This window comes from Homo sapiens, chromosome 15, assembly GCF_000001405.40.
Source record: "Homo sapiens chromosome 15, GRCh38.p14 Primary Assembly".
Lineage (NCBI taxonomy): Eukaryota > Metazoa > Chordata > Mammalia > Primates > Hominidae > Homo > Homo sapiens.
The window spans coordinates 54,494,252-54,519,942 of record NC_000015.10 but is presented as its reverse complement, the minus strand read 5'-3'; the positions used below and the strand labels follow the sequence as shown (position 1 = coordinate 54,519,942).

Here is a 25,691-nt window from a genome sequence, read left to right as displayed (position 1 = left end):
CACTTGACCGGAATCTTTTCATCTTATAGGGTCTACTTCAACTTAAAATATATGACTGAGAATTCAGCAAAAATTCCCTAGTGAATCTAGAAGTAGGGTACTTTCCTGGAAATGCCCTAAATCACTTCATAAGCCTGTGGTGTCAGCATGAATACTGTGGTTTGTTGTCAGAAGTAAAAGAATACACGGTCCTCTCTACCGGAAACAAATGTGCCCAGCTCTAACCATACTACCCTGTTTTTTGTTTCGTTTTAAAATGCCTCTTAAGGAGAAACTCCAAGAACTTACACGACAATTTTCAGACAGACTATGGCATTTTCTTTATCCTATTCAGATTTGCATGAATGTTATGCTAGAGGTATCAGTTGTATAAATTCATGTTTCTAACTTCTGGGTTTCAAAAAGTTGAACATCAATAGCTGTCTCCCATCCTAATTAAAGAGAGTATGCAGTAAATCCAACTGTCACTGTGCTTCAAATCAACAAAATGCCTTTGAGATATGTTAAATGAGGTTCTTCAGTCTAGACAACTGAAGGAAAAAAAAAGATTGCCTTACCTTTTATAATTCACTCAATATAGTTTTGAGTTAGTGAATATAAGGAATTTTGGCTTTTTCTGTTTCTATGAACTGTTTTTCTTTAAATTACACCTTCAGGCTTTATATGAGTGATGTGACATTCTTTTCTCTTATACATTTTTTCCCTTCTCACCTGCAACACATACACTATTCCTCTACTTCATGGATTGCTAACATGCGGATTGTCCTTATAATGACAGAAATTTAGAAAAAAAAAGAATTTCTGAAATCACATAGTTCAACTTCCTCGTTGTTTCCAAATGGGTAAAACCAAAGCACAGATAATGTGTTATGCTTTTGGAGCCACATGGGGACTGAAGAGCTGCATTCTTAGAAGCTATTTCCTCTGAAGAAATTCTCTTCTGAGAATGTTCATTAAAAAAACAGGAATCCCCGTTTTATAACAATGGGAAAGGAATTTAGGGCTTACATGTTGCATCTATTGGCTAATTGTGAAAATGGACTGGGTAGGGATAAGTTAGGAATAGAATCAACGAGACACTTTATGTTCAGAATTTTGTTCTGCCCTTTTCCCCTGACCTACTCTGTCTGACCCATTTGGCTGTTTCTTCACATTCCTGCATGTGTTATAAACCACTGCTCAGCGATGTGAATATAGTCCACCCAGTCAACTGAATTCAGGACCTGTTGACCATCAAGTGCTGGGGACAGAGTGTTCTCTGTGAGCCATTATCTCAGGGTGTCTGAGGACTATTCTGCTTAGTAGGGCAAACAAGAGAACTGACTGGGTTAAAGAAGTTAAATTTTACCAGTAATGGCATTGGTTTATGGTTTGTTAAAGCAGGCATGAGCAACTGAAGGTGATCACAACAAGATAATGAAATAGATTTATTATAGAAGATGGCAGTTAAAGTGAAGCCGTCTCCCTCTCCTTCCTTGCTGGGGCATGTGTCCTTTCTCCTTAAGTTTTCTTAAGGTTCAGAGAGAGGTGAGTTTAAAAAGAGACTTGGCAGTATATGAGTAACCCTGTGAGCTCTCTTAAATGCTCTGGGAAATGAGGTTAACAAGCGTCACCTGCCTGGGTCTGTATTTCATTTTGACATGGCTCGCCAACCAAAAAACCTTTCAACCTCCTCAGCAGCACCTTTTCTTAATTTCACAAGCTTAGCAGTTAGCTAAACTTTATGTGGTAGTAGTGCTAAATTATTAAACATATTTATTAAATCACTTTAATATAATTTGCTTTATTGGCCCTTATTATTCTCTTAATTTTCCATTAAGTTCAATTTATTAAATCTAATTGCAGAGATGATTAGGAGGAGAAAGAAACCAGGCAGTCTGTGCATGTTGCCACAATAAAAGGCCAGCACTTCAAATATTCAATTCTCCTTATTATCTGGGGCTATGAAGCTATAACTGGTTGCTTTTACTGACGTCAGCCAAATTACATTTCCCTTTTTACCTCTATTTATACAACAAGAGGTGAGGTTTGAGTTTATTTCTGAATTGTTGCAGGATAAGTTATAACAATTAAAACTTTCATCTGAAGGATATCTTCACATTTAGGAGTGTCCTTGTTGTTTTTCTCTCACAAACCTTATCTCTTTAATTGCTCTGATTCCCCTAAAAACTTCTAAGTTCTTTGAGGGTGGGGTCTGCATCTTAGTAATTAATGTATCTCCAGTTCCTAGTAAAATTTACAGCTCATAACAAGTGCTCAGCAAATAAATATTTGTTGAATGAATTAGCGAAGGAGTAAATTCTGTCATCATATTCAGTGTGCTCAGACCTTTTTTTCATACAGCAGTCAGCCCCAAGAGGAAGAGGTGCTTACAGTGGTGGAGAAAGACGTGGAACAGCTGGCTTCTGAATATCCTTCAGTAAGTGCTAAAAGGCATCTCTAGTCTAATTATGTTTTACCAAGTTCCTTACACCTTGTAAGCTCCTTGAGACCCCAGGCATTAAAAAATGTTTTTATTTTGTACCCCAATTTCTGCCCACCTGCAGATAAACTACATGTAAGTAGGCAACAATGGATATTCTAACTAAATACGAAGAACTTTTCAAATTGGTTTAGAAAACAGTTTTAGAACTGAAAGATATAATGTGACAATTTGAAATTGTCTATTTTACTATCTAATATATACTTTATAATTTATTCTATATTTTGTAATTCCTGAAAATATGAGAACAGTAGATTAATTCTTATTAATTTATTAACTAGTAACTTATATTTCTATATTAAGAAGAAAAGGTGAGACAGATTAGAAACCTGAATGTAAAATTTGGCCTCTGTTAACTATAACACCATTTTTTATAAGATTACATATAAAATTCAAGCATAAAGGCCAGAATCTTAAAAAACTGCAAGAATTTTGTATATGATTGCAAATCGACTACCTTTATTTTGGGACTATCCTATTCTTTAATACAAATACTTGCCTGCACTCTTGCATGCTGTTCCAATTTCCATACAAACACCTTGAATCTCAGGTGTTCTTAAGATTCAAAACACAGAAAGTAGGCTGGTCAGGACTGGTGTACAAATAAGAAAAACGGGTATTCTGTGTTATTTTCTAATTATCTGATACTTTTTTTTTTTTTGAGACAGCATCTCACTCCGTTTTCCAGGCTGGAGTGCCGTGGTGCGATCTCTGCTCACTGCAACCTCCGCCTCTAGGGTTCAAGTGATTCTCCCGCTTCAGCCTCCTGAGTAGCTGGGATTACAGGCGCCCACCACCATGCCTGGCTAATTTTTGGTATTTTTAGTAGAAACAGGATTTTGCCATGTTAGGCTGATCTCGAACTCTTGACCTCAGGTGATCCACCCACTTTGGCCTCCCAAAGTGCTGGGATTACAGGAACGAGCTACCACACCTGGCCTGATTCTTTTTCAGAAAGCATATAGCAGTAATTCTCAATGCATGGTCCCCAGACCAGTAGCATCAGCGTCACCCAGAGATTCGTTAGAAATGCAAATCACCTGGCCCTGCCCCAAACGTACTGAATCAAATACACTGGGGGTAGAGTTCAGTGATGTGTGTTTTTCATAAACTCATCAGGTAGTTCTGATGCGTGCTGAAGTTCAAGAAGAACTACTGGCATGGAGTATTATTTCCTTTGAAGCTCTGATCTTTCATCTCCTGTTGCCTCAGCACGTTTAAAGTTGAGAGGCTAGTGGCAAGTGAAAAATGATGAAGATTAATGTTTTTCCTTCCTGGTCTAGGGTTGCTTAGCTAATGACTTAGTCCATGTGGCTAATAGGTATTACAATGAATTTCAATGAGCTACATACACACACTTTTGGGCAGTCAGATGCAATTTCTAGTTGACACATCAAATTTGTCATTAAAAATTAAAAGCGACATAGATATACATCTCTGAAATAAAAGGATAATTTAGTTGACCATTACAATATCCATATTTTTAAAATGATGGGGTTATGGTCCAGATTCCTTGGCTCTATTCTGCCTGGACTTATGTGAAGTTACTCTCATGGGAAATTTTACCACCATGGTATGACACAGAAGAGTCAATCCTTTTTTGAGTCATAACAATACAAATAGCATTATCATTATACCTAATGGAGCTGCCTGTGGTCAACAGATGAAAATAATTTAGCTGAACAAACGAACCCTCCTTTTTCCCTGAATGTCTTAATAACAGCTAACTACAATTTGAAGTAACATCAACAGTTAGTGGGCTTATGGATAACTATGGATTCTACCATTTAAAACGATTGCACCAATAAAATATTGTGAAGGATTAATGCACCTTCTAAATCAATGATCATAACACAAGTTCTTTAGAGTTTCAAAATGCATATCTTATAACTTCCTGAAAAGAAATTAAATTTTGGATTTTTTCATATACCTGTATATATTAGATTACAAATTAATGATAAGTCCTTTTCATGGGCTGCAGCAATGTGTTTTTGTTACAAAATGAATACAAGCTAAGTAATTATTTGCAATTGATAGATAATAAATTATATTCATGAAATAATTAAGCTATTAACATAATGTAACCTAACGTAATCACTCACCAATGAATGAAAATTATTACATGGCACCCTGATAATCATTTTGTTGTTATTGTGTTATAAAGGGACAGATAATATTATATGGGGATTGTAGTGCAAATTAACTTGTAGCTCTAGTACATCTATAACACGGGTTGGCTATTTTACTTGTTTTAGTATAGTGATTCCCAAAACTGTATCCACATAAAAAATCACCAGAGGTGCTTTTTAAAAAAACAGACTCTGTACTCCATTCCTAAAGGTTAGTTTTTCTTCGTGGTTTGTGAGATTTTTTTTTATATATTCTCTAGAGGAATCAGAGATGTTATGCCAAAACATGCCCCTGATTTGTATGCAGAGAAGTGTGTTGGAAAATCACTTTAGAGGAGAAGAAAATTAGTGGTTTGCTTTTCTCTTTTGACTTTTTTTTTCCCTAAATAGGGCATTAGAAAGTAAATGTGCTGACATGGCCCATAGGATATTGTGCATGCAACTGTCTAACAATGATTGCTTAAGTGACTGTTTTTGGAACCATTGTCAACAACATAATCCCACGATCATCATGGTGTTAAGCAATGCTTCCATTTGAACTCCATACAGAGAGTGAATTTTTCCACTGAAAAAGGGTTTTAAACACTCTTTTTATTTCCAGGGGGAAAAGAGGCTGATTCTGTGAAGAAAAAACAGCTGCCTCAACTACATGGTGATAAGGTTAAAGCAGCAGGGAGCTGCAGTAGCACGCAGTCATGCCTGTAAGCAGCCAGCACTTTGCAGATAGTATAATATTAGAGGAAAGCAATGCTGTTGTTAGAAGCCAGCTAATAAACACATAGCATTAAAAACCATTTTGAGCAAGTGCACAAGCAATTATTTGCTATTTAATTTTTATAGCAAGAAGTACATATATCAGCACAGATGGTGGGGGATAAGATAAAAAGAAACTCTTAAATGAAGAATAAGGTCTAGCCTGGAATATTTCCCTTATTTACAGTGGAATTGGTTATAATACCAGTGAAAGGTTTTACAACCAGTTCCACTGTAAGGAAAAAACTGGGAATTTGAATTAGAACACATTGTATAACTTTTAAAGGCCCCTGAACATGTCTGTATCAAGTGTTGCATATCAAAGGGTGAATTCTGTAATTTTCTCATATCAAAGGGTGAATTCTATAATTTTCAATCAAATCCTTTTTCATCTTTATAAAAGCCCCAAGTTAAGGAAACCATTTAGATACTGCCATGTTTATACAACAATATTGGAAGAACTCTGCTTATTATTTTGAAATTCTGTTGCCTTGAGACCCCAGAGTAATCAGAAATTCTATCATAATTCTGTATCAATTAAGCTTCTATTTTCTGGGAGGACACATGATGCACTCAGACTTGAATGCAAGTCTTGCTTCCTCCTGACATTTCATCAATCTCTATGCAAATGCTGACTGGCCCTACCTAAAACTTTGAGCTGAAAATGGAACACAGTAAGAGAAAAGATCTATGCATAGAGAGGAGAAAAAGAAAACAGGAGAAACAGAAAATCACAGAAAAGGGTAAAGAGAGGAAGGAAAGAAATGAAAAAAAATATTTAGAAAAAGAAAGGAGAAGATTACATCGTTAGAAGCTAGGCATTCATTTTATTTCACTGATTTATTTACGCTTTCTTCTTAAATCGTGTCTGAGGAGTTTAGCAAGTAGACATTGCAAGAGTTTTAAAGGAAGAAGGTACCAAGCTCAGTATTTCTGTTTTCATTATGTTCTTCAATAAGAGGAGGAGTTCTATGGTTTAGTCATCTATTTGAAATAAAATGAATAGCGTGAAACCTGTATATTTCAAACCAGCAATTCTATCTGAAATAAGGAATTCATTTTTGATTGGTGAACAAGCCACTTTATAACATTTTTAATTAGCAAGTGGCTTGGCCCATCCAGTTTCCTTTAAGTACAGGTCTGATTTATCTGGTTAAATTCAGTTCAACAATATGTTATTCACATTAGAGTTCAAACACAGAATAGTAATGAAATAGCATAAGTAGCATAAGGATAAATTTATGGAAATATGACATTTTAAATATAACTTTATTCTTAAATGATTTGTGGGCTTTAAAATTTATAGGAAGGAGATAATATTTCCCACATGAAATCAATAATTTCTTCATCACTTTTCTAAATGCTAAGTGGACTTCAAGTCTGAATATAAAACATCAGTAAAATTGAAAAGGAAATCTCACATTATATTCCTTAATTGGTTGTGCTTACCTAATTCAGCAGAATAATTTTAAAATAAGATCAATGCCCTCAAACTTTACATAAAGCATTAACACACTTTAGGGAATGAGGCCTTATTTTATACAAATAAAACTGAGATTGCAATGAAGGCACAGCTCATAAAGGTTCATTTTTTTAAAGTTTTGCATCATCACACATATATTCTAGTGCTTCACCATTGCAGAATGCTAAATAGCAAGTTCATTTTTCAAAATACTGAAAAAGAAACAGACATTGGAGAAGTGTAAAAACATCTCCTTGGGGTTAAAAGCAAAATCACATGGGAAGGAGCCAATCTTAAAAGAAACATTTGTAGTCACATAAGTTTAGAAATAAAAGGGATATTTACTTTGAAATGCATCCTAGCATTACGCACATCTCATAAACTTTCCCACGGGAAGGAACAATGTAAAGGAATCTTAAACAGAAGTATATATCTACATATTCTTGACATAGCTGCCCTTGAGATTGTTTCCAGCGGAATAAGGGCATGGGGAGAAACCCTGCTTCATGACCCTCCCTCTCAGCACCTTCTCCAGTCCTCAATCCCTGAATGCTTAGGTCAGTTTATGAAAGAAAAGACTGTGGCAGGCAGGAAGATGCAGGTGCATAGCTAGTATTTCACTGTCTGTCTGTTCCAAACAAGCAAATGGGAATAAGTAGAAAATGCAATGGTCTTTAGGTATGGAGTGAGGGTTGGAGGGAACAGCCAGGTAAGGGATAAGATGCTTACTATCACAAACCTCATAAAAGAATCTTTCTCCTTCCTTCTTCTGCTCATGGAATTGCAAGTCAAAGATGTTGGACAAAGACATGACACATTACAGACACATCACACAACACATTTTTGACAGAGCTTTCTCAATGTGAAAAATAAACTCCAGTACATCAAAAACCAATAGCACCACAAAGCATATTGCAGAATAAACATTGATATCAAGCTGACATTGTACAAGACAGTGAAAAACACAATTTGTGGAATTTTACAAGTCATTAGCATACAAATATATATGTGTGTATATATGACTACACACACAAACATACATGCGCACACACAGAAGACCAAAGGCTACTATCTTCTGCCTCCCATTCACACTTCTAATGTATTTACTAAAGTATTCTGTTGTGGATAATAATCATTTTAGTTGTTAATGACATTTGAGATTATTATCATTTCCTGTTCTTAGTTAACCATGTAAAAACTTGATTAAGACACTTTCATAGCAAGAGATATGCTGCTAATAATCTCTAAGTAGGTTTTTAGCAAATGTAGGAGAAAAAGATACCCACCTCCTTCCCTCCCATGGATTCAAACATTTTTTCCAGCTGGACCCGCAATTGTTGAATATTGTTCATCAAGATACAGGGCTTTAAATATAGAAAAAAAGACTATTATGAGCAATCTTTTTATATAAAATTATTGAATGAGTTTAACTTATAAGTGGTGGAAAATAGCTATCTTGGATTCCTATTATATTAGATGTATATACTAATTCTGCTATTTCAACATTATAGTTTGTAACAGTTAAGAATGGAAACAGAGAAACATAATGCCACATTGGGGAATGAAATTTAAAAACATACTCAGACAATAAACCATTGGAGACTTGCTGCTAAAGTTTCTTTTATCTTTAACATTGTAACATTTCATACTTAGAAAGTAAGCACACTTTTTGTTTTTATAGATTTACTTTTAGAAAAAGGTTAGCTTAAATTCTTCTGTTATTTTACTGTTTTAGAAAAGAAAATACCATGTGATTTTTTAAATGCAAAAACATTTTAAAAATAAACTTAAATATATTTTCTGGCTGCAGGTAAAGACCACATGCTGGTATTCGAAGTGTTTTTCTTCTGGCTTTAACCTGTGTTTTTCTTCTCATTTTCCTACTTGCTTATTTGACTCATATCCATCATTCAGGTTAGAGCGTTCTTTTTTCCTGGATTTTATCTTATCACTCACTTGGCATTTGTTTTACATTGCTTTACATTTGAGTTGCTTTTCACTCTCACCAGCTAACGTTAAATACATTGTACATGCTGCTGTGTCTCTTTCTGCTTTTCTTACTCACAAACTACTGCACAGTGGTGTACATATAATACATGCTTAGAAAATGTTTCTCCACTTGTTTCCAAGGAGCCAGATAATATAATAATAACAAAGATGTAAAGCTTTGTGACAGGTCTAGATGTGAACTTAGAATAGTAAACATTAATTCATAATTAGAAAACAATTCATAATAGTTATAGAATCATTTAATCTTTGCTGTATATTGATTCCTAAGAGCCAGTATATCAGAGAAAAACAGACACAGAAAGAGAAATAGACAAAGGAAGGAAAATGGATGTATCTTCCAAGTTGCTGAGAAATAACCCAATAACCAGAGTCATGCAAAGGACTCAAGGGATGTCAGAGAGGTGTTAGCTCTTATCAGTGGAAAGATTTTATTATTACTTGAGCCACATTAATGACCTTTGAAAAACTTTCTACTTGACTCTTAAAGTGACCACATCATCACTTTGATTTATGCAAACAATTTAATAATTCCTTTCTGTTTCCTTGATTCCAGTCACTTAAAAACTTTATTTTTTAACACAGATATCTGAGATGTATCCCCCAAAGATTCTGTTTTAATTAGCTGAATCAAAATGTTCCACAAATGATTCTGATCCATAGCCATAAGTGAGAACTACTTGATCTGGGCTTAGTCCTTTCCATAGTGAGTAGGGCCACATTTTCAGAGGATTCAGCATCTTGAACCAAAATCCACAAACTAAGCCAATAGCCTATCTTTTCATTAGGAGGTAGGGTCATTGACATTTACTTTTAATTGCAGAAAGGGAAGATTTGGTGTGAATCTGGGCAATCCTACCAGGGAGAAATCCAAGGTCAAAGTAAAACAATGACTTATAATGAGAAACAGGAAGACTACACAAGTGAGTGGTTATTATCACCTTGTTTCCCATGTCTAAGTTAGCTTGATAGACTCTTCTTAGATTATTTGATATTAACATTCAAGCTAATCTTTATTGTCACATGTAACAGGACCCTAGTACTAGCTTTATAAATAAAGGTCAACTGCCAACTCTTCTTACTATGATGATTTCTGATGAAAAAGAGCTACTGAGAACAAAATGAACATGGACAGTTTGGCTCACTTGACATGGATTGCTATTGACCCCAAGTTAGACTACAGAGAAAAAAGAGGAGATGCAGTTATCCGGAGGGAAACAAAAATAAATTTGAGACTCTCCCTTTTCATTAAGAGTTCCCTGACCTTGAAATGTTCAAAGTGCAGTTTTACTGAATCAATTCATCAAACTGCTACTGGGAACAGATTATACAAATTCACCTTAAATTTAATCATGAAACAGTTTTTACTTTCGACAACTTCATAGTAAATGAAAAAAAGAACAACTTCATAGTAAATGAAAAAAGGAAACTGACAGCAAAGGAAACATTACCCTAATTCAGGGATATTGCTTTTTGAGTTTAGTAAGATAAAACAAACTATGTTAAAGTCAATTTATATCTTCCTATTTTTATATCTTGATTTTTTCCCTAAAAATAGAATAATACCTTTAATTTTATCTCAATCTGGAACAAAGTTAGGAAACTGAAACATAGTGAATATGAAAGTTTCAGACTAGGAACACTTCTACATGGCCAAAGTGTTTCTGAGTTTAAAAATATTTTAAAGATTATTTAAAATAAAAGTAATTCTAATTTAGATTGTGATGTCTTGCTATATTTTGGAATGTGAAATTAAATAAATAAAAATATTTTGACCCATTTCCAATTTAAAATGTTACAGTAGAAAACAAATTATTCTGACATGGATATTTTATTTAACTCTGGTCTTTAATTCTGAACCCGGAGAACTCAAATGTTTTGGTCATATCTTTTTTGTTTGTATGTTTTTGAGACAGAGTTTCACTCTTTTTTGGCCAGGCTGGAGTGCAATGGCACAATCTTGGCTCACTGCAACCTCCATCTCCCGGGTTCAAGCAATTCTCCTGCCTCAGCCTCCCAAGTAGCTTGGATTACAGGTGCACGCCACCACACCTGGTTAATTTTATATTTTTAGTAGAGACAGGGTTTCACCATGTTGGCCAGGCTGGTCTTGAACTCCTGACCTCAGGTGATCTGCCCACCTCAGCCGCCCAAAGTGCTGGAATTATGGGTGTGAGCCACCGCGCCCGGCCTATATTATGGTCGTATCTTAAATGATGTCTATCTTTAGATGTTTCTAGCTCAATTTGCAGATGAAATAGATATATTGCCATAGATATACTGAAAGATGTACAAGTTTCAGTGATCTTGATATTGAAATCTGATATTAAAATAATTATAAATAAGTATCTGTAATAGTAACTATATATACTCATGGAAATGTACAAAAGCATTTCAATTTGCCTTGAATGAAAACATAAGCCTAGTAACCAAGTGATATTCTTTTATAAAAGCTAAAATGATACTTGGCATTTAAGCAACAGTGTATAAGGCTGGTCAAGATATTAGTAATTATGGAAGAAAAGCACTGAGGGAAGGAAAAGGAAGTTCCTTTGCTGTAATATTTGGAGGGCTTTTGTTTCTTTTTATAAAGATTTAATTTTTCCAAGTATAAAACCTACAGAAAGAGTACATAGAATAATATAATAAATACTGGGTTATGATTTTTATCTCAGTGTTTATTAAATGTAAAATATAATATAGAATGTTAATACATAAAGTGGAACTCTGCAGGGGCTTTTAAAAACTAATTTGCCTTTCTGAATGGCAGGAATTAGCCTTAGGAGCTCATGGTCACCTTTCAAAATCTTCAATTTGGCTGTCCTAGTATAAACAGGATCCTTTTGTGAAATTATCAGATACTGTTTTGATTTTCAATGTAACACTTTAGACATGTATTATCTTGTAATCAGAAATAATATACTTTCAATAAATAAATATCTTGCTTTTTGAGTATAATCAATAGCAATAAGAAATAATTGTTTGAGTTGTCAAAAAGTTCTAATAAAATTTCTGGGCAGCATATTAATTTAAGGAAAAGAAGCATCTTATAGAATTCTCAAGAACCATTAGGACTGACTTATCTTAATGAGCTGTCAGCAAGAGGTCAATGAGGTTTCAGGGAGAAAACTAGTAGCTTTCTTTAGAATAATTTAGATTCACCTGATAGCGAAACTGATTTTTGGAGGGGGAAAAAACTGGTTTTTCTTTTTTTTAAAAAAAAACCCTATACTCACTTTTTAAACACTTTTTTTTTTCAGAGCTACTGTTTTTCAAAATGTTTACAATGCTGCCAATGTATTTCTCCTAATATTACAGATTGAATAAGAAAGCTTTCACCTTCCATCATAAAATAAATCTTACTATATTTCAAATACCTTTATCTAGCTTTTCTTTATGCCTTTGATTAAGTTGCAATACTAGTTTGAATTTTATAAATATTTTCTCAATCATCTAAAAAAGCTATTTTAATAATTCAGAATAGAAATCAGCATTGTTCCATATATTAACGTTTGCAATTTATTTGAAAACTGAAAGACTAAATTACACTTATTTGAGTATTAATGCCAAAATGAAACTAGTTGGTGCCAATACTCATCTAATTTTTAAGTCCCTTGTTTTTCTCAGCTCCAGTATTTTATGAGTATGTTTATTTTCAATGATTTATTCTAGTCTTGTTCCTTATCTACATGGAAAACCACAAGTTGGCTGGCATTGAGACACTCTCTACCTTCCTGTAAATCCTGTATTAAAACCAGTTCAAGAACCCTGGAGAAGTTTCCAGCTTCTTAAGATCCTTATTTCTTATTATCCTATGTGAAAACTGAAAGTCAACAATTTATCTTGCTTACTCATACTTTGAAGAAGTAAATCTCAACTGAGAGATACTTGAAAGTAGAGACATTTTTTACTTACCACATTTTCCTTATCACAATGTGAACTGAAATCACTTGATACAATTGCAGCATACTGGAGCAGCACTTTATTGATAGTCTAAGAAAGAAAACATTGTGAACTTTACCCAGGTAAGTATGTAGTTTACAAATATGCTATAAAGTTTAATCCTAAGTTAACTTCTTGCTGTCTTTTTCATCTTAGTTCTACATTTTTTTCTCCCTCTAACAACTGTTTCTGAGCCTAAGAATGCCCTCTGTTTTCATTAATTATGCAAAGCAGAGGAAAATAAACCATGTTAATTAAATTTTATTTCAATTACTTAAAGATGCATGAATGTGTTTGCACTCACTGCTTTTATACATAGATTAAATTATCATAAGCCAAATGTAGATATGATTTTCTTAGAAGAGATAAGGCAACAATAGCAGTAGAAATGTCATCTCTTTTGATAGAAAAGTAAAGACAAAAAAGCTTTTATTTTCTTATTTGTACAACATATGCCTGAATTTTCTTAGTGGCTCAAAATCAACTGAGGGAGACACTCCAAAGAGTTAAGCTGAAGAAGAGATGTTTAATTTATAAACCTGAATTCGCTAAATTGATTATAAGCTTGCTTACACACTTTGAAAATCACAATGAAATCCTGAAATAAGAGATAACACACAGACAGAAAATCAATACTTCGTTGAAGTACACAGTAACGTGATAATATGCATCAGCTCAAATAGAAAGTTGACCTTGAAAATATAAAATCTTATCAAGCAGCAGACCAATAAATCCTGGTAAACAGATGACTGATCAGACTGAATTATCTTCAAATGTGTCTCTTCAAATTTTACTTTAGACATACTGTTCAATTACTTTGGACTTACCTATGAAATACTTATTCGTTTGTACGTATGAATACTACTCTCAATCTACAGCTTCTTGATGACATTATAAACTTGAAGAATTATTATATTGTATTGCATACACAACAACATATAAACACAAACCATAAACCTGACTTTAGGCAATCGTTGTAACTCAGACATTGTAACTTGCTTAAGGTAAAGTTTGGGCTGTGTGAAAATCCTCTACAACTTACTGCCATGTGAGATTTTTTAATTCTTATGATTCTGCTTCCCCTACATCCTACAGCTGCCGGGTGACTTGCTGAACAGCATAGATTTTGTTTTTTGCCTTTGTTATCGTTTTCTAAAGAAGAAAGAGCAAGCTGGATACCCTTTACGATAATTCTTGAAGTATGCCCTATGGCCTACAGCTTGAGTCTACTTCATAGGAAAACCTTAGTCCCTTGAATTTATGCTTAGAGACAAGGAATCCTGGGATCTCACACGTAATAGCCTACAAATGCCAATGGTTAGCAAGTCAGGATGGGCTGCAGGTAAGACAAAGTGCACAGTCATATAGAATATATCCAGCCTGGGCGACAGAGCGAGATTGTCTCAAAAAAAAAAAAAAAAAAGAATATAGCTTAAAGCTGTGTGCCTATAAGAGTTGCAAGCACACTGCCGTAATAACTCCCATCTTTACTAATGTACAATGTACACTTGAATGAGAGTGTGCAAAGTACATTTTGTGGGCAACTTCAATTTCATTCTAATTTATTCAGCTAAGTAAACCACTATCACACAATAGCTCTTTAATACTAATAAGCTGTTGCTTATGACATGCTTAACTCATTGTTTCTCGGAATGTAGTTCTGGAATCAGCACCATTATAAGCATCACCTGGGAACTTGTTGGACATGCACATTATTTGGTCCTATCCTAAATTACTGAGTCAGAAATGCCAGAGGTGGGCTCCAGCTGTCTGGGTTTTAACAAGTCTAAGGTAATTCCAATGCATACAAAGTTTGAGAACCACTATCTTAACGAATGCATGGCAGGGTGGAGGTAACTCTTCAGAGAAAAGCTGTGATGGACGGGGCACCTGGCAAGGCCTGGAACATAAGACTTCTGGGTGTGTGAGCTTAGGTCATGATTTTATCTTTGGGGAACTACTGGTCTTCAGAAGAGAGTATAGTGCAGACAGAGGGAACAAACAGCCTAGCAGGGACTGTTGCATCTTGTTCTAAAGAAATAGTCATGAGGAGTAGAGGGCTCTTTTACGGATGCCTATAAAGAGCTGCTATTCAAAAAGTTCCAGATTAAATAAAATGAAATTCTAATAGGAGTGTGGCAGTACAGAGAGTGATTCTGCTGCATTTAAAGGATTAGACAGGGTGACTGAAATATCTTTCAGCTACAATCAGTTCTGATTTGACACACAGGTACTGGTGGAGCATTGAGTGGGACGGCCATCAATTACTCAGACAAAGGCATTGTGTTTTTCTGAGCTAATGCCACCCTGTTAGGAGTGGGCTAAATATCCTGTCAACACTTCCAGTTATTCCATCTAGTGTACTGCTCTTATGATCAGTGAGATAAGAAGTGTGGTTCAAAATCCATCTTTTCATTCACATTTTATGCATGGAACAATGCAGTATTAGAGCAACACAAGGAAGACAAGAAAACTGTCATATTGTGAAGAAATGTGACTTCACGGATTTATGTAATGTATTTTAACACATCCAACATAAGATAGGGTCTCCCATTTCTGTCACCATAAATGCCTAGGTTTGACCTTAAGGGTAAAAAACAAATAGTGAGATTCTATTCTCCAAATTTCTAACTTAATTCTGATCACACCAGAATGAGAAGTGAGTATAGTTTAGTGGTTGATTCTATCTATATCATTTCAATTATTTAAACGTTTTTAGTCTGTTTCATCATGGATGGAAATTAGGGAAAATAATAGTACCCATTTAATTAGATGGTTGTGAAGAATAAGAAAATGTATAAAGTGATTAGCATATAATAATGCTCAATGAATTATCATTATTATTGTTAAAAATTAGAATTATGTTCCCAGAGAACAAGGAATAGAAATAAATATGTGTGCGTCATTTACCACAGTATCTGCAGCACCTGGCAAACAGCCAGACTCATACCCAGGACTTAATATTTGTTTATTTGTTTTTAGGCAATATTAAAAATAACATTACTTCATATCTATTTTTAAAATTAAATTACCCATACTTGTCAAGAGCAGCACTATAATCATAGGAATATTAACTACTCATGTGCCCATTTTATCACTCATCATAGCTTCTGAATGTTCTTGATATGAAATTTGAAGCATTTTGTTTGGTACCTTTTTTAGTCTTATATCCTGTTTAGTAAGAATAAATTGTCCCTTTAAATCCCATTTTAAAATGCAAAAATTTTTAAATCTCTACAGATACAATTAATGTGTCTGATCTCCAGGAGACTGTTTAAATCAATATAAATCCCATAAAGATAATGGGATTTTAGTATATTTTGATATAAGGATTCCAATACTTAGAAGCGTAGAGTTTTCAAGACTAATTAGTCAGTCACATCTGATGAAATAAAAACAAATTGCAATAGTTTGCAGTTCTTGTGAAATGGCTAATTATAGTAAACACAAACGATTTTTATCTACTTTGTTATATAAAATACAAATTATAGATAGAAATGCTGATAATGAGTTTGGGACCAGCCTGGCCAACATGGAGAAACCCTGTCTCTACTAAAAATGCAAAAAATTAGCCGGGTATGGTGGTGAACACCTGTAATCCCAGCTACTCTTGGGAGGCTGAGGCAGGAGAATCACTTGAACCCGGGAGGTGAAGGTTGCAGTGAGCGGAGATTGTGCCACTGCACTCCAGTGACAGAGTGAGACTCTGTCTCAAAAAGAAAAAAAAAAAAAAGGAAAGGCTGATAATGGTAAAATGGATTTGACTGATGTTTCTTATTTTTATATTTATGTTTAATTGATTTTGCTTTTTATTTATTATTCTGTATAGTAAGTTACTGCAAGAGTTAAAAAGAGAAATGCTGGCAAGAGATTTTTAAATCATTCCAATAAAATAGAATTTCTTTTTCAATGAAAATCACTAATTTCTTCTTTTCCAGAAAATGCTTCTCATTGTTCTTACACTATATCCTGCTGACAATTGGATATTGTTGAATTTCCATGGATTAAAAATGTTTTACTTAATTGAATTTTTTATTGCACCAATAAAAGCACACATCTCCTCAGTAATACATGGAAGCTGATTCTTTTCTTCTTGCTTCAGAGAATGTATTTTCCTGAGTGTGATTCTAATATGACCTTCCTTGTGACCTCCCACCCTTTTATACTTCCATTCAGTACATTTGGTTATACCCAAGCAGGCATATTGTGGCTATGTTCAGTATTACAGCTGAAGAAAGGTCAGAGCTACAAACGGGTGGCTGCAGCTCAGGGTCTAGGAATCTCAATTCAGCATTCTTTCTACTCTGTTACCGTGCACTCATGTCGCCCAACTTACATAACCTACCTGCCTGACTATTCTGAGGGTGAATTCTAGTTACTTTTCTAATATCAGGTACAATTATCATATGTTACTAAATATATTAACCTAAATATATTAACCCTGAGATTTTTAAATTCTCATATGAGCCTGCTTCCCCTACATCCTACAGAATTCCAAGAATAGTACGTGACATACTTTGTCAAACACTATTCCTAATGACCCAGTTTCATTCTTTTCTTGGCATTCACCCAAACACAGCTGCTCATCAAGAAAAGACTTAGAGAATTTTTAGAATTATGCTCTACAGATTTCGCTATATTGGGAAATTAGAATCATCTAAGGGGACTCAGAAAGTCATCTCTAAGAATGGTTTAAATAAATGATTACTGGCTATTATTTAATATTTTAAAAGTAGGAGGTTAGTCTTAATTAATGAAGATGAGATCAGAATATTTCATGGCAAATAAATATAATACAGTTTAGTGTCTCTCTGTCTGTCTCTGCTTCTTTATCTATATTCTGGGCCTCTTTCAACTTCTGAGATGCTCTGATTATAACATTTGACTTTGTCATAGTTGTTTGCAGCTTTGGCCCTTCCATACAAGTTTTCTGAGGTCACAGATTATGCTTATTCATGACTACATCCCTCAAGGTGGCTTATAGTGTGTGCGAGTGAGGCATATAGGCAAGCACTTGTTGAATGAACAGCCTAAAACCTCAGTCATCATTCAATCCATGGAATCAGACTTATATTTAGATCAGCCAGACATAGAACTGTGTAAGTAGTTTCCCTAAATTACTATGTTTGTTATGTCACTACCCTGCATAAAAATCTCCAAAGGTTCTGCGTTTCCTAAGTTGACCAGCACATTAAGTCTAAACTTCTCAACCTGGGAAGCAAAGTTCTTCAAGATCTGGGGTATCTTCACTCTCCCAACATTTCCTACTGCTTCTCCCCACAAGGGTTGTTTCTCCCTGCCCTTCCCATGTCAGTCTCAGCTTTACCTCTTCCTTTGTTCCCGCTATTCCTCTGGCTTAGAATACTTTTCTAACTTCTCCGTTTTAGTCTTCTATGAGCCCTGCCCTTGTCATGAAGCCTCTGTCTATTTCGGCTCTCATCAGATTTCCCTCCACTCAATTTACGGTTGATCTCACTAAGCTTGAAGCTGAATTGTGTCCCTTTTCACGTCATCTTTCAATTAGTTTATGTCATGTGGTCTTGCATATTATATGGATTTTTTCTGAGATTTGATAGACAGTGGCTGCTTCTTTTATTTCTTATATTTCCCTTGAAACTCTTGGGAAAGTAGTAAGCACATGGTAAGCCATTTTAGATTTTAAGAGGAGAAGGGGCCTTAAGATGAACTTGGTTTATCAAAATCAATATGTCAAATATGAAAACTAAATTCATAAAAAACTTGAACTATTGAGATTCAATTACAATTATTGGTTGATTTGTAATCAGAAATCAGTTTTCATGGCTCCAAGTTCAATATACATTGCACTATACTACAATGTCTGCTAAAACACTTGGCAATTTGAATGTGAAATTGCCAAGGCTTACTTTCAGCTAGAAAACACCACATTTGAAATGGGAGTAATTTGGAAATCCATGGTAATTTCTTCGATTATAAGTAACTGAGTCCTCGAAGTGAACAATAAATAGGTTTTTAAGATGATAAATCCATATTAAAGAAACAGGAAGTGTAGGAAATCAGATGGGAATCCTGGAAACAACTGAATTTACTAGTACAGAATTACAAATAAACTGGGATGGGGTGACAGAGAAGACTAACACCACAAAACAATAGCATTTTTCAGATTGCCACAGACCCAGAGAAAAAGAAGACTCATTTTATTTAACCTACCTTTGCAAATCTTCTCATTAAGTGAGATAATGCTTCAGGATTAGGGCATTCCAGTTTCTTAATAATTTCAAAGCTCTGATTCAGCTGAGCAAAGACATCAACCACGGAGCAAGAAAAGAGAGCATGCTCAGATGTCTGCTGGAACTGTGGGGAGAGGAGGTGAAACCATCCCAAACAGTACATTAGAGGCGGAATGGAAAAATCTTCACTGTTTCCCATCAACAACTGAATCTCCCGTATCACATATTTACATTTCCCAGTAATAAAATGCTTACCCACTTTAAAATCATTAATCTCCTTTTCTTGAAAGTGTGGTGGAACTAATATCATGGGGCAAGCTACTGCTAATTGGTTTTTCCACTGCTGAATTGAGGTACTGGTTCTTTTGTCTTTCATTTTCTCCACAGGCAATAGGTTAGCTTAGCAAGACGGTTGTGGCTCACGATTTTGGGAGCTGCTTCACAGGGACTGGGAGAATGTCTGCTCCTAATCTAGAAATCCTGGAAAAGTTCCAGGACAACAAAGATGTTTTGTACAAGGTTAGGAAACCTGTAGATTCAGATTAATGTAAGAATTAAAGAAAATCTTGGGAAAAATGGGTGATTGATTTTTTTTTTTTTTAATAAATGTAGGCAAGTTTCTAGGGTTCTGACCAGACCACTGAAATTGTGTTTTAAATTAATTTTGGTCACTGGGGAATGGAAACAATTAATAACAATGAGTCTAATAATTCCCATTAGGTTAAAAGTAAGCAATGTGACTGAATCATGGCAATGAACTTTCTTAAGGTAATTTAAACTCACTCCATCTTTTTTGTCTCTTCCCAGTGCTCCATGAAGGAATTCCATTGACACATCTTCGTTTTCATCTAGCCATTGCATGACAAAAGGTTCAAACCACCTATAACAAATTAATAATGTTACATACCACAAAGGACATCATTTGCATAAAATTAACAGGAATGCTGCTCTTTTTGCATATGAGAGTAATTTAGAATCAACAATCTCCTTTCATTCTCTCTTGCAGTTTTGCTTCCTCAGAGACCTTTACCTGTTCTCCATCAAATCAGTCTCCTCCTCTTTACCTCCAACCTCTACCCCCGTCTTGGTTCTTCGCATGCTGCCTCAAATATGCTTAGTTTCCAACAGTTACTCTGTAATTCCCTTCAAAATTCAAACTCTTGTAAAATGTAGACCTTGTGTGCTCTCTTCCCTATCAACGCATTTCCTCATTTTTAAATTCTTTGCCATATAGCTTCTACCCATTCACACTAATCTGTAACCGATCGTGGGTGCTTACCTCAGACTCCTTAGTTATGATCTATAATCTATGGACAACTGATTTTTGGAAATTGTGTAGGATATTTTTTTCTCCATTCTGAGCATAAATTCTTTTTTCTGTATGTGTGCCCAGTTGATCTAGCACCATTTATTTAGAACACCCTTTATTCCCCCACCGCATTGAATTTGCATCTTTGATGCAAATCAGGTCATCATGCCATACATGTGAATTGGCCTCTGGACTATTTTATTCCCTTGGTTTATTTGTTATGCACTGATATGGTTTGGATCTGTGTCCCCACCAAAACTCATGTCAAACTGTAGTCCTCAATGTTGGAGGTGGGGCCTGGTAGGAGGTGCTTTGATCATGCAGGTGGAGTTTTTATGAATAGTTTAGAACTATCCCCTTGGTGCTGTTCTTGTGATAGTGTTTGAGTTCTCATGAGATCTGGTTATTTAAAACTGTGCAGCACATCCCACCTCACTCTCTCTTGCTCCTGCTCCCCCCATGTGAGATGCCCCATTCTCTCTTTGCCTTTTGCCATGATTGAAAGCTTCCTGGGGACTTCCCAGAAGCAGAAGCCACTATGCTTCTTGTACAGCCTGCAGAACTGTGAGCCAATTAAACCTATTTATTTTTTACCTAGACTCAGGTATTTCTTTATAGCAGTGTGAGAAAGGACTGAGAAATGCATTAACATGACACTCTCTTAAGAACTCTACTTTATTAGCTAACCAATAATGTAGTTCTCCAGTTTGTAGATTGCCTTTGTATTTTTAAGCACTTTGCATTTCTACATGCATTTTAAAAGTCTTGTCAATTTGCACAAAAATATCTTTTGAAATTTGCATAGGGTTGTATTGAAACTGTAGGTCCATGTGGGGGGAATTGCTATCTTTATAATAATGCATCTTTTTAGGAATGTTACAGATTTCATTTAGTTCATCTTAAATTTCTCTCATAATATTTTATAGTTGCTTGAAAACATGGCTTGTACGCCGTTCATCACATTTATTTGTGGTGATTTTAATGTTATTTAAATGGTACAATTTATATATGATTTTCTAATTGTTTGTGGCTATAATACAGAAATTTAATAAAGTTTTAAATAGACCACACTTACTTTTAAAATTCTACTTCAAAAACATTTTGAATTTTCATCTACTTCCTGTTTTAGCTGCATTCTACAAAATTGGATATGCCATATTTTATTAGCACTTAATTCAAAATATTTTGTAATTTTTACCATGATTTCTTTTTTTACTCATGAGTATTTAGAATATTCTGCTGCTTTTCTGTATTTAATTATCTAATTATCTTCTTGGAGTTGATTTGTGTCTTAATTCTACAGTGTCAAGAATATATAATACATGATTTCTCCCCTTAACATGTATTAGTTTTGTTTTATGGCTCAGGAGGCAGTCTATTTTGGTAAATGTACCATGTGTTCCTAATAACAATATGTATTTTATTGTTTTTGTTTATAAATTTTATATGGGTGTTTTTGTGTGTAAGCATTGTCAATGAAAAATTATGGAAACTCTGGATGATCAGATATAGATATAGAAATGTAGATACCTATATAGATAGATATCTCTAAATGTTTTATTCAGATTTTTCAAACTTCTTTGTTCTTACTGTTTGTTGGGGTCTGGTTTTTCAATTCATTGCTGAAGAAGCATAATCTCCAGATAGTTATTTAGTCCTGTTGTCTGGTAGCCTTTAATTTTTTGATGAATGTTATATATTGTCCATGAAAAGCTGTGGACCTTTGATCTAGACAGTGTTGGGTTTTAGGTTGGTCTATTTCCACTTTGTCATTATTTCTAGGGCAGAGACCTTCAAAAATCTCACCTGAAAGCCTAGAGTGTTTATAATGTTCCTTCTTTCTTATTTTTTGTACACAATGTATGATTCCATTTATAAAAAGTATAAAAATCTATAAAACTAATCTATGCTATTAGGCATCAGAAGGTGGTTACTGCTGCAACAGAAGGAGAGACTGTTACTGTAAGTAGGCACAAAGGGGACCAGCCTTGATCTCTAACATTTGTCCCTTCAGCACTATGAGACTGCTAAAGTATCTACTTAGTTCCCAATCTCTTAGTGGCCACTTTCTACTTGATTTTCTTCTGCCCCAATCTCAACACATAGGTAAATTAGGCATCAGAAAATGCCTTCAGTGGGAACTGCCTGTAGCATGTTGGACTCATATCTCTGTGGTTTCCTTTTCTCTGGGATCTTGGTCTCACAAATCCAAGCAGCCTTCATAGCCCCATAACCCATATTGTTTCTCCAGTCCAGGGAGACAGCTGTAAACTCTGAGCTACTGTTGGCTGTTTGCTCTGCAAGCCCCGTATTGCAAATTGGCAGATGTATGGGGGTGAAAACATGGGAGAGAAGATGCAACAAAATACAGGACTCACCTTAGTGCATTTTTCTTTTCTCAGGGATCTTAGATTCTCAAGTCCTGGTTGCCTTTGTTGTCTTTCTGATGCTGTTTAATTTTATTTACCTTTTTTGTTGGCCATCAGGGAAAATATTAGTCTGATTTTAGTTTAGCGTAGAGTGTCTAGACAGAGCCAGAAGCAGAAGCATCTGGCAAATAGCTCCTCTGTTTTACTTCTCTATTCCTGATCAATGATACTACCAACAACTTAGGCATACAGACTTCATATTTAACTCTTTCCTCTTTCTTGTTTATTTTTCTATTTTTAAATTTTTTTCATTTCAATAGGTTTTGAGGGGAACACGTGGTGTTTGGTTACATGAATAAGTTCTTTAGTGGTGATTTCTGAGATTTTGGTGCACCCATTATCTAAGCAGTGTTTACTGTACCCAATGTGTAGTCTTTTATCCTTCCCCCCCAACTTCCCTTTCCCTCAAGTCCTCAAAGTCCATTGTATCATTCTCATGCCTCTTTGCTTCTTCATAGCTCAGCTCCCACTTATGAGTGAAAACATATAATGTTTGGTTTTCCATTCCTGAGTTACTTCACTTAGAATAATGGTCTCCAGTTCCATCCAGGTTGCTGTGAATGTCATTATTTCATTCCTTTTTATGGCTGAGTAGTATTCCATGGTGTACATATATATATATATACACACACACACCACAATTTCTTTATCCACTTGTTGATTGATGGGCATTTGGGCTGGTTCCACATTTTTGAAATTGTGAATTGTGCTGCTATAAACATGCATGTGCAAAGATCTTTTTTGTATATGACTTCTTTTCCTTTGGGTAGATACCCAGAAGTGGGATTGCTGGATTAAATGGTAGATCTACTTTTAGTTCTTTAAGGAATCTTCACCTTTCCTCTTTCTTTTAACCCCATATGTCTTTAGTTGACAAATTCTGTAAATTCTATCTTCAAAATTTCTCTCCCACATCTTCACCCTTTACATACTTGCTGCAATCACTCTATATTTTCAGTATGGCCTTTATTTAACATAAAGACTATAATTTTATTGTATTTATTTTAAGTATGTTTTATTTGACAAAAGAAGTTGTATGTATTTACCAAGTATAACATGTTGTTTTGAAATATGTATATATTGTGGAATGGCTAAACTAAAATAATTAACAAATGCATTACTTCACATACTTATCATTTTTATGGTGAGAACATGTAAAATATGTTCTCTTAGCAACTTTTCAGAGTATGATACACTAATTACAGTCACCATGTTGTATAATAGATCTCTTGAACTCATTCCTCCTACTTAACTAAAATGTTGTATCTTTTGACCAAAATCTCCCCAACACCCTATACCCCATAGTACGGCATTTTTAAGTTATCCCACTGTCCCCTTACTTCTTATATACTTTGTATGAGAAAAGTTGTGTTAAAGGGCTGTTCTAATTTCATCTCTAAATCACTCATTACCTTCTAAATCTCTTCTCTGCCCCCCATTCCTTGTCTCTTCCAACTCCCACAATGCCTGATGAATGTGGTACAAGCTTCACAATATTTATTTATAACAATCTAGCTCAAAACTACTTTTCCTACATTATTTTTTTAAAATATTACTTTCTATTAATTTTATAAAAATGGAAATATGCCTTACTTCCTATGGATGATAGCTCATATATTCTTACCTCCATAATTATGCTCATAACTTTCATTTTCATCTTAATGCTTTTTCTCCCTTTTCTTTCTGTAACCTGGCAAATTTTATAAAGTCTACATCAAATGCTATCCCATCTATAAATATTGTGTGGAGTTCCCCAAATAGAGGTAATTTCTCTCTTCTGTGAAACCCTATTGCGCTTTGCTTATGCTCCTTAAATTAGCACATATTTCACTTTGCCTTGCTTTATAATGATATTTAAGCTTATCAGCATCTCCTAGAGTATAAGTTCCTTTCAGGGTGGGGGTCTTTATTTTCTATTGCTCTACAGCACTTGGAAAGTGCCTGCCATAGGGAAGACCCCATCAATAGAATAAAACAGAATTCTAATACATATCAAATGCAAATTATTACATGAGTCCTTGTGTGATTAAAATGTGTTTGAAAGAGGCATATTTATGAGAAAGTTCCCTGTTAAACCACTATTTCTATTTTTAGAAATATGAATTCCTAAGAGAGTTACAAGTTTGAATAGAAAGGAAAATCTGAATATATAGGTCAATATACAAGCACCATACTTTCCCCAAAAAAATCTGTGTTCTGGTATTTTTACAGAAAATCATTCATGTTATCACATGAGCCATGTCTTATTATGCATTTTTTGTCTTTGAGTTGAATATCCAGGTAGGGCGTATTTGAAATATGCAACACAATTCAATTAAATATGGTTCCCAAAGACATGCAAATCCTTTAATGTTAACTTCATAATGGAAATTTCTGCATTCCAATGAAGATTATGTGAAGAGATTTTAGTGGTACACAATTCAGGTGTAATTTTACAGGAATGTGAATTTAGATCTGAGGGTGTGTGTGTTAAAATCACTACTTACAAGGAGTATTCAGGAACAGCATCCTTGAAGGCAGGAAGTTCACGCACATATTCATTATAAAACCATTTAACTTTGAAATGCAAATTCATATAATCGGTGCTCTTGCATAACCGCTGATTTTCATGTTCTATAACAGATAAAATTAAATATTTAATAAAGCTTGGTTTGCCAACAATGCTGCTATGTTCCAATCTATTTTTATTAATAGAATTTCTAAAAGGAAGAAAATAGTATATTAGATGTAAAGGTATAATGAATTGCTAAAAGCTGACCTAAAATTTTATAAAATGCAGAAATAATTATAAGTCCCACATAGAATAGGTCAAGCAGTAATGCAAAATAACTTCAATGTTCTAATCCAGCTTACTGAAAAATGTGAAAAGTCAGATGTAGTTACAGAGTAATAACATACTAAAATTTCTGTTTATCTGCAAATTTTCATATTTTTACTGCTTTTAGCTTGATGCAAAGTGACAGAGAGAA

The 25,691-nt window shown here is 34.6% G+C and overlaps 1 protein-coding gene across 7 annotated transcripts in view; it reads right to left on the bottom strand.

The window, feature by feature from the left end:
• The window catches only part of UNC13C (unc-13 homolog C), a 795,839-nt gene that overhangs the window by 113,498 nt on the left and 656,650 nt on the right, over nucleotides 1–25,691 (bottom strand). For all 7 annotated transcript variants that reach the window (XM_047432538.1, XM_017022220.2, XM_017022221.2 and 4 more), the window contains 5 exons: nucleotides 25,209–25,335; nucleotides 19,768–19,864; nucleotides 18,965–19,108; nucleotides 12,749–12,826; nucleotides 8,113–8,190 (listed from right to left, as the gene is read on the bottom strand). In XM_047432538.1, coding sequence (XP_047288494.1) covers nucleotides 8,113–8,190; nucleotides 12,749–12,826; nucleotides 18,965–19,108; nucleotides 19,768–19,864; nucleotides 25,209–25,335 — 524 coding nt within the window. The remainder of the gene's footprint in view (nucleotides 1–8,112; nucleotides 8,191–12,748; nucleotides 12,827–18,964; nucleotides 19,109–19,767; nucleotides 19,865–25,208; nucleotides 25,336–25,691) is intronic.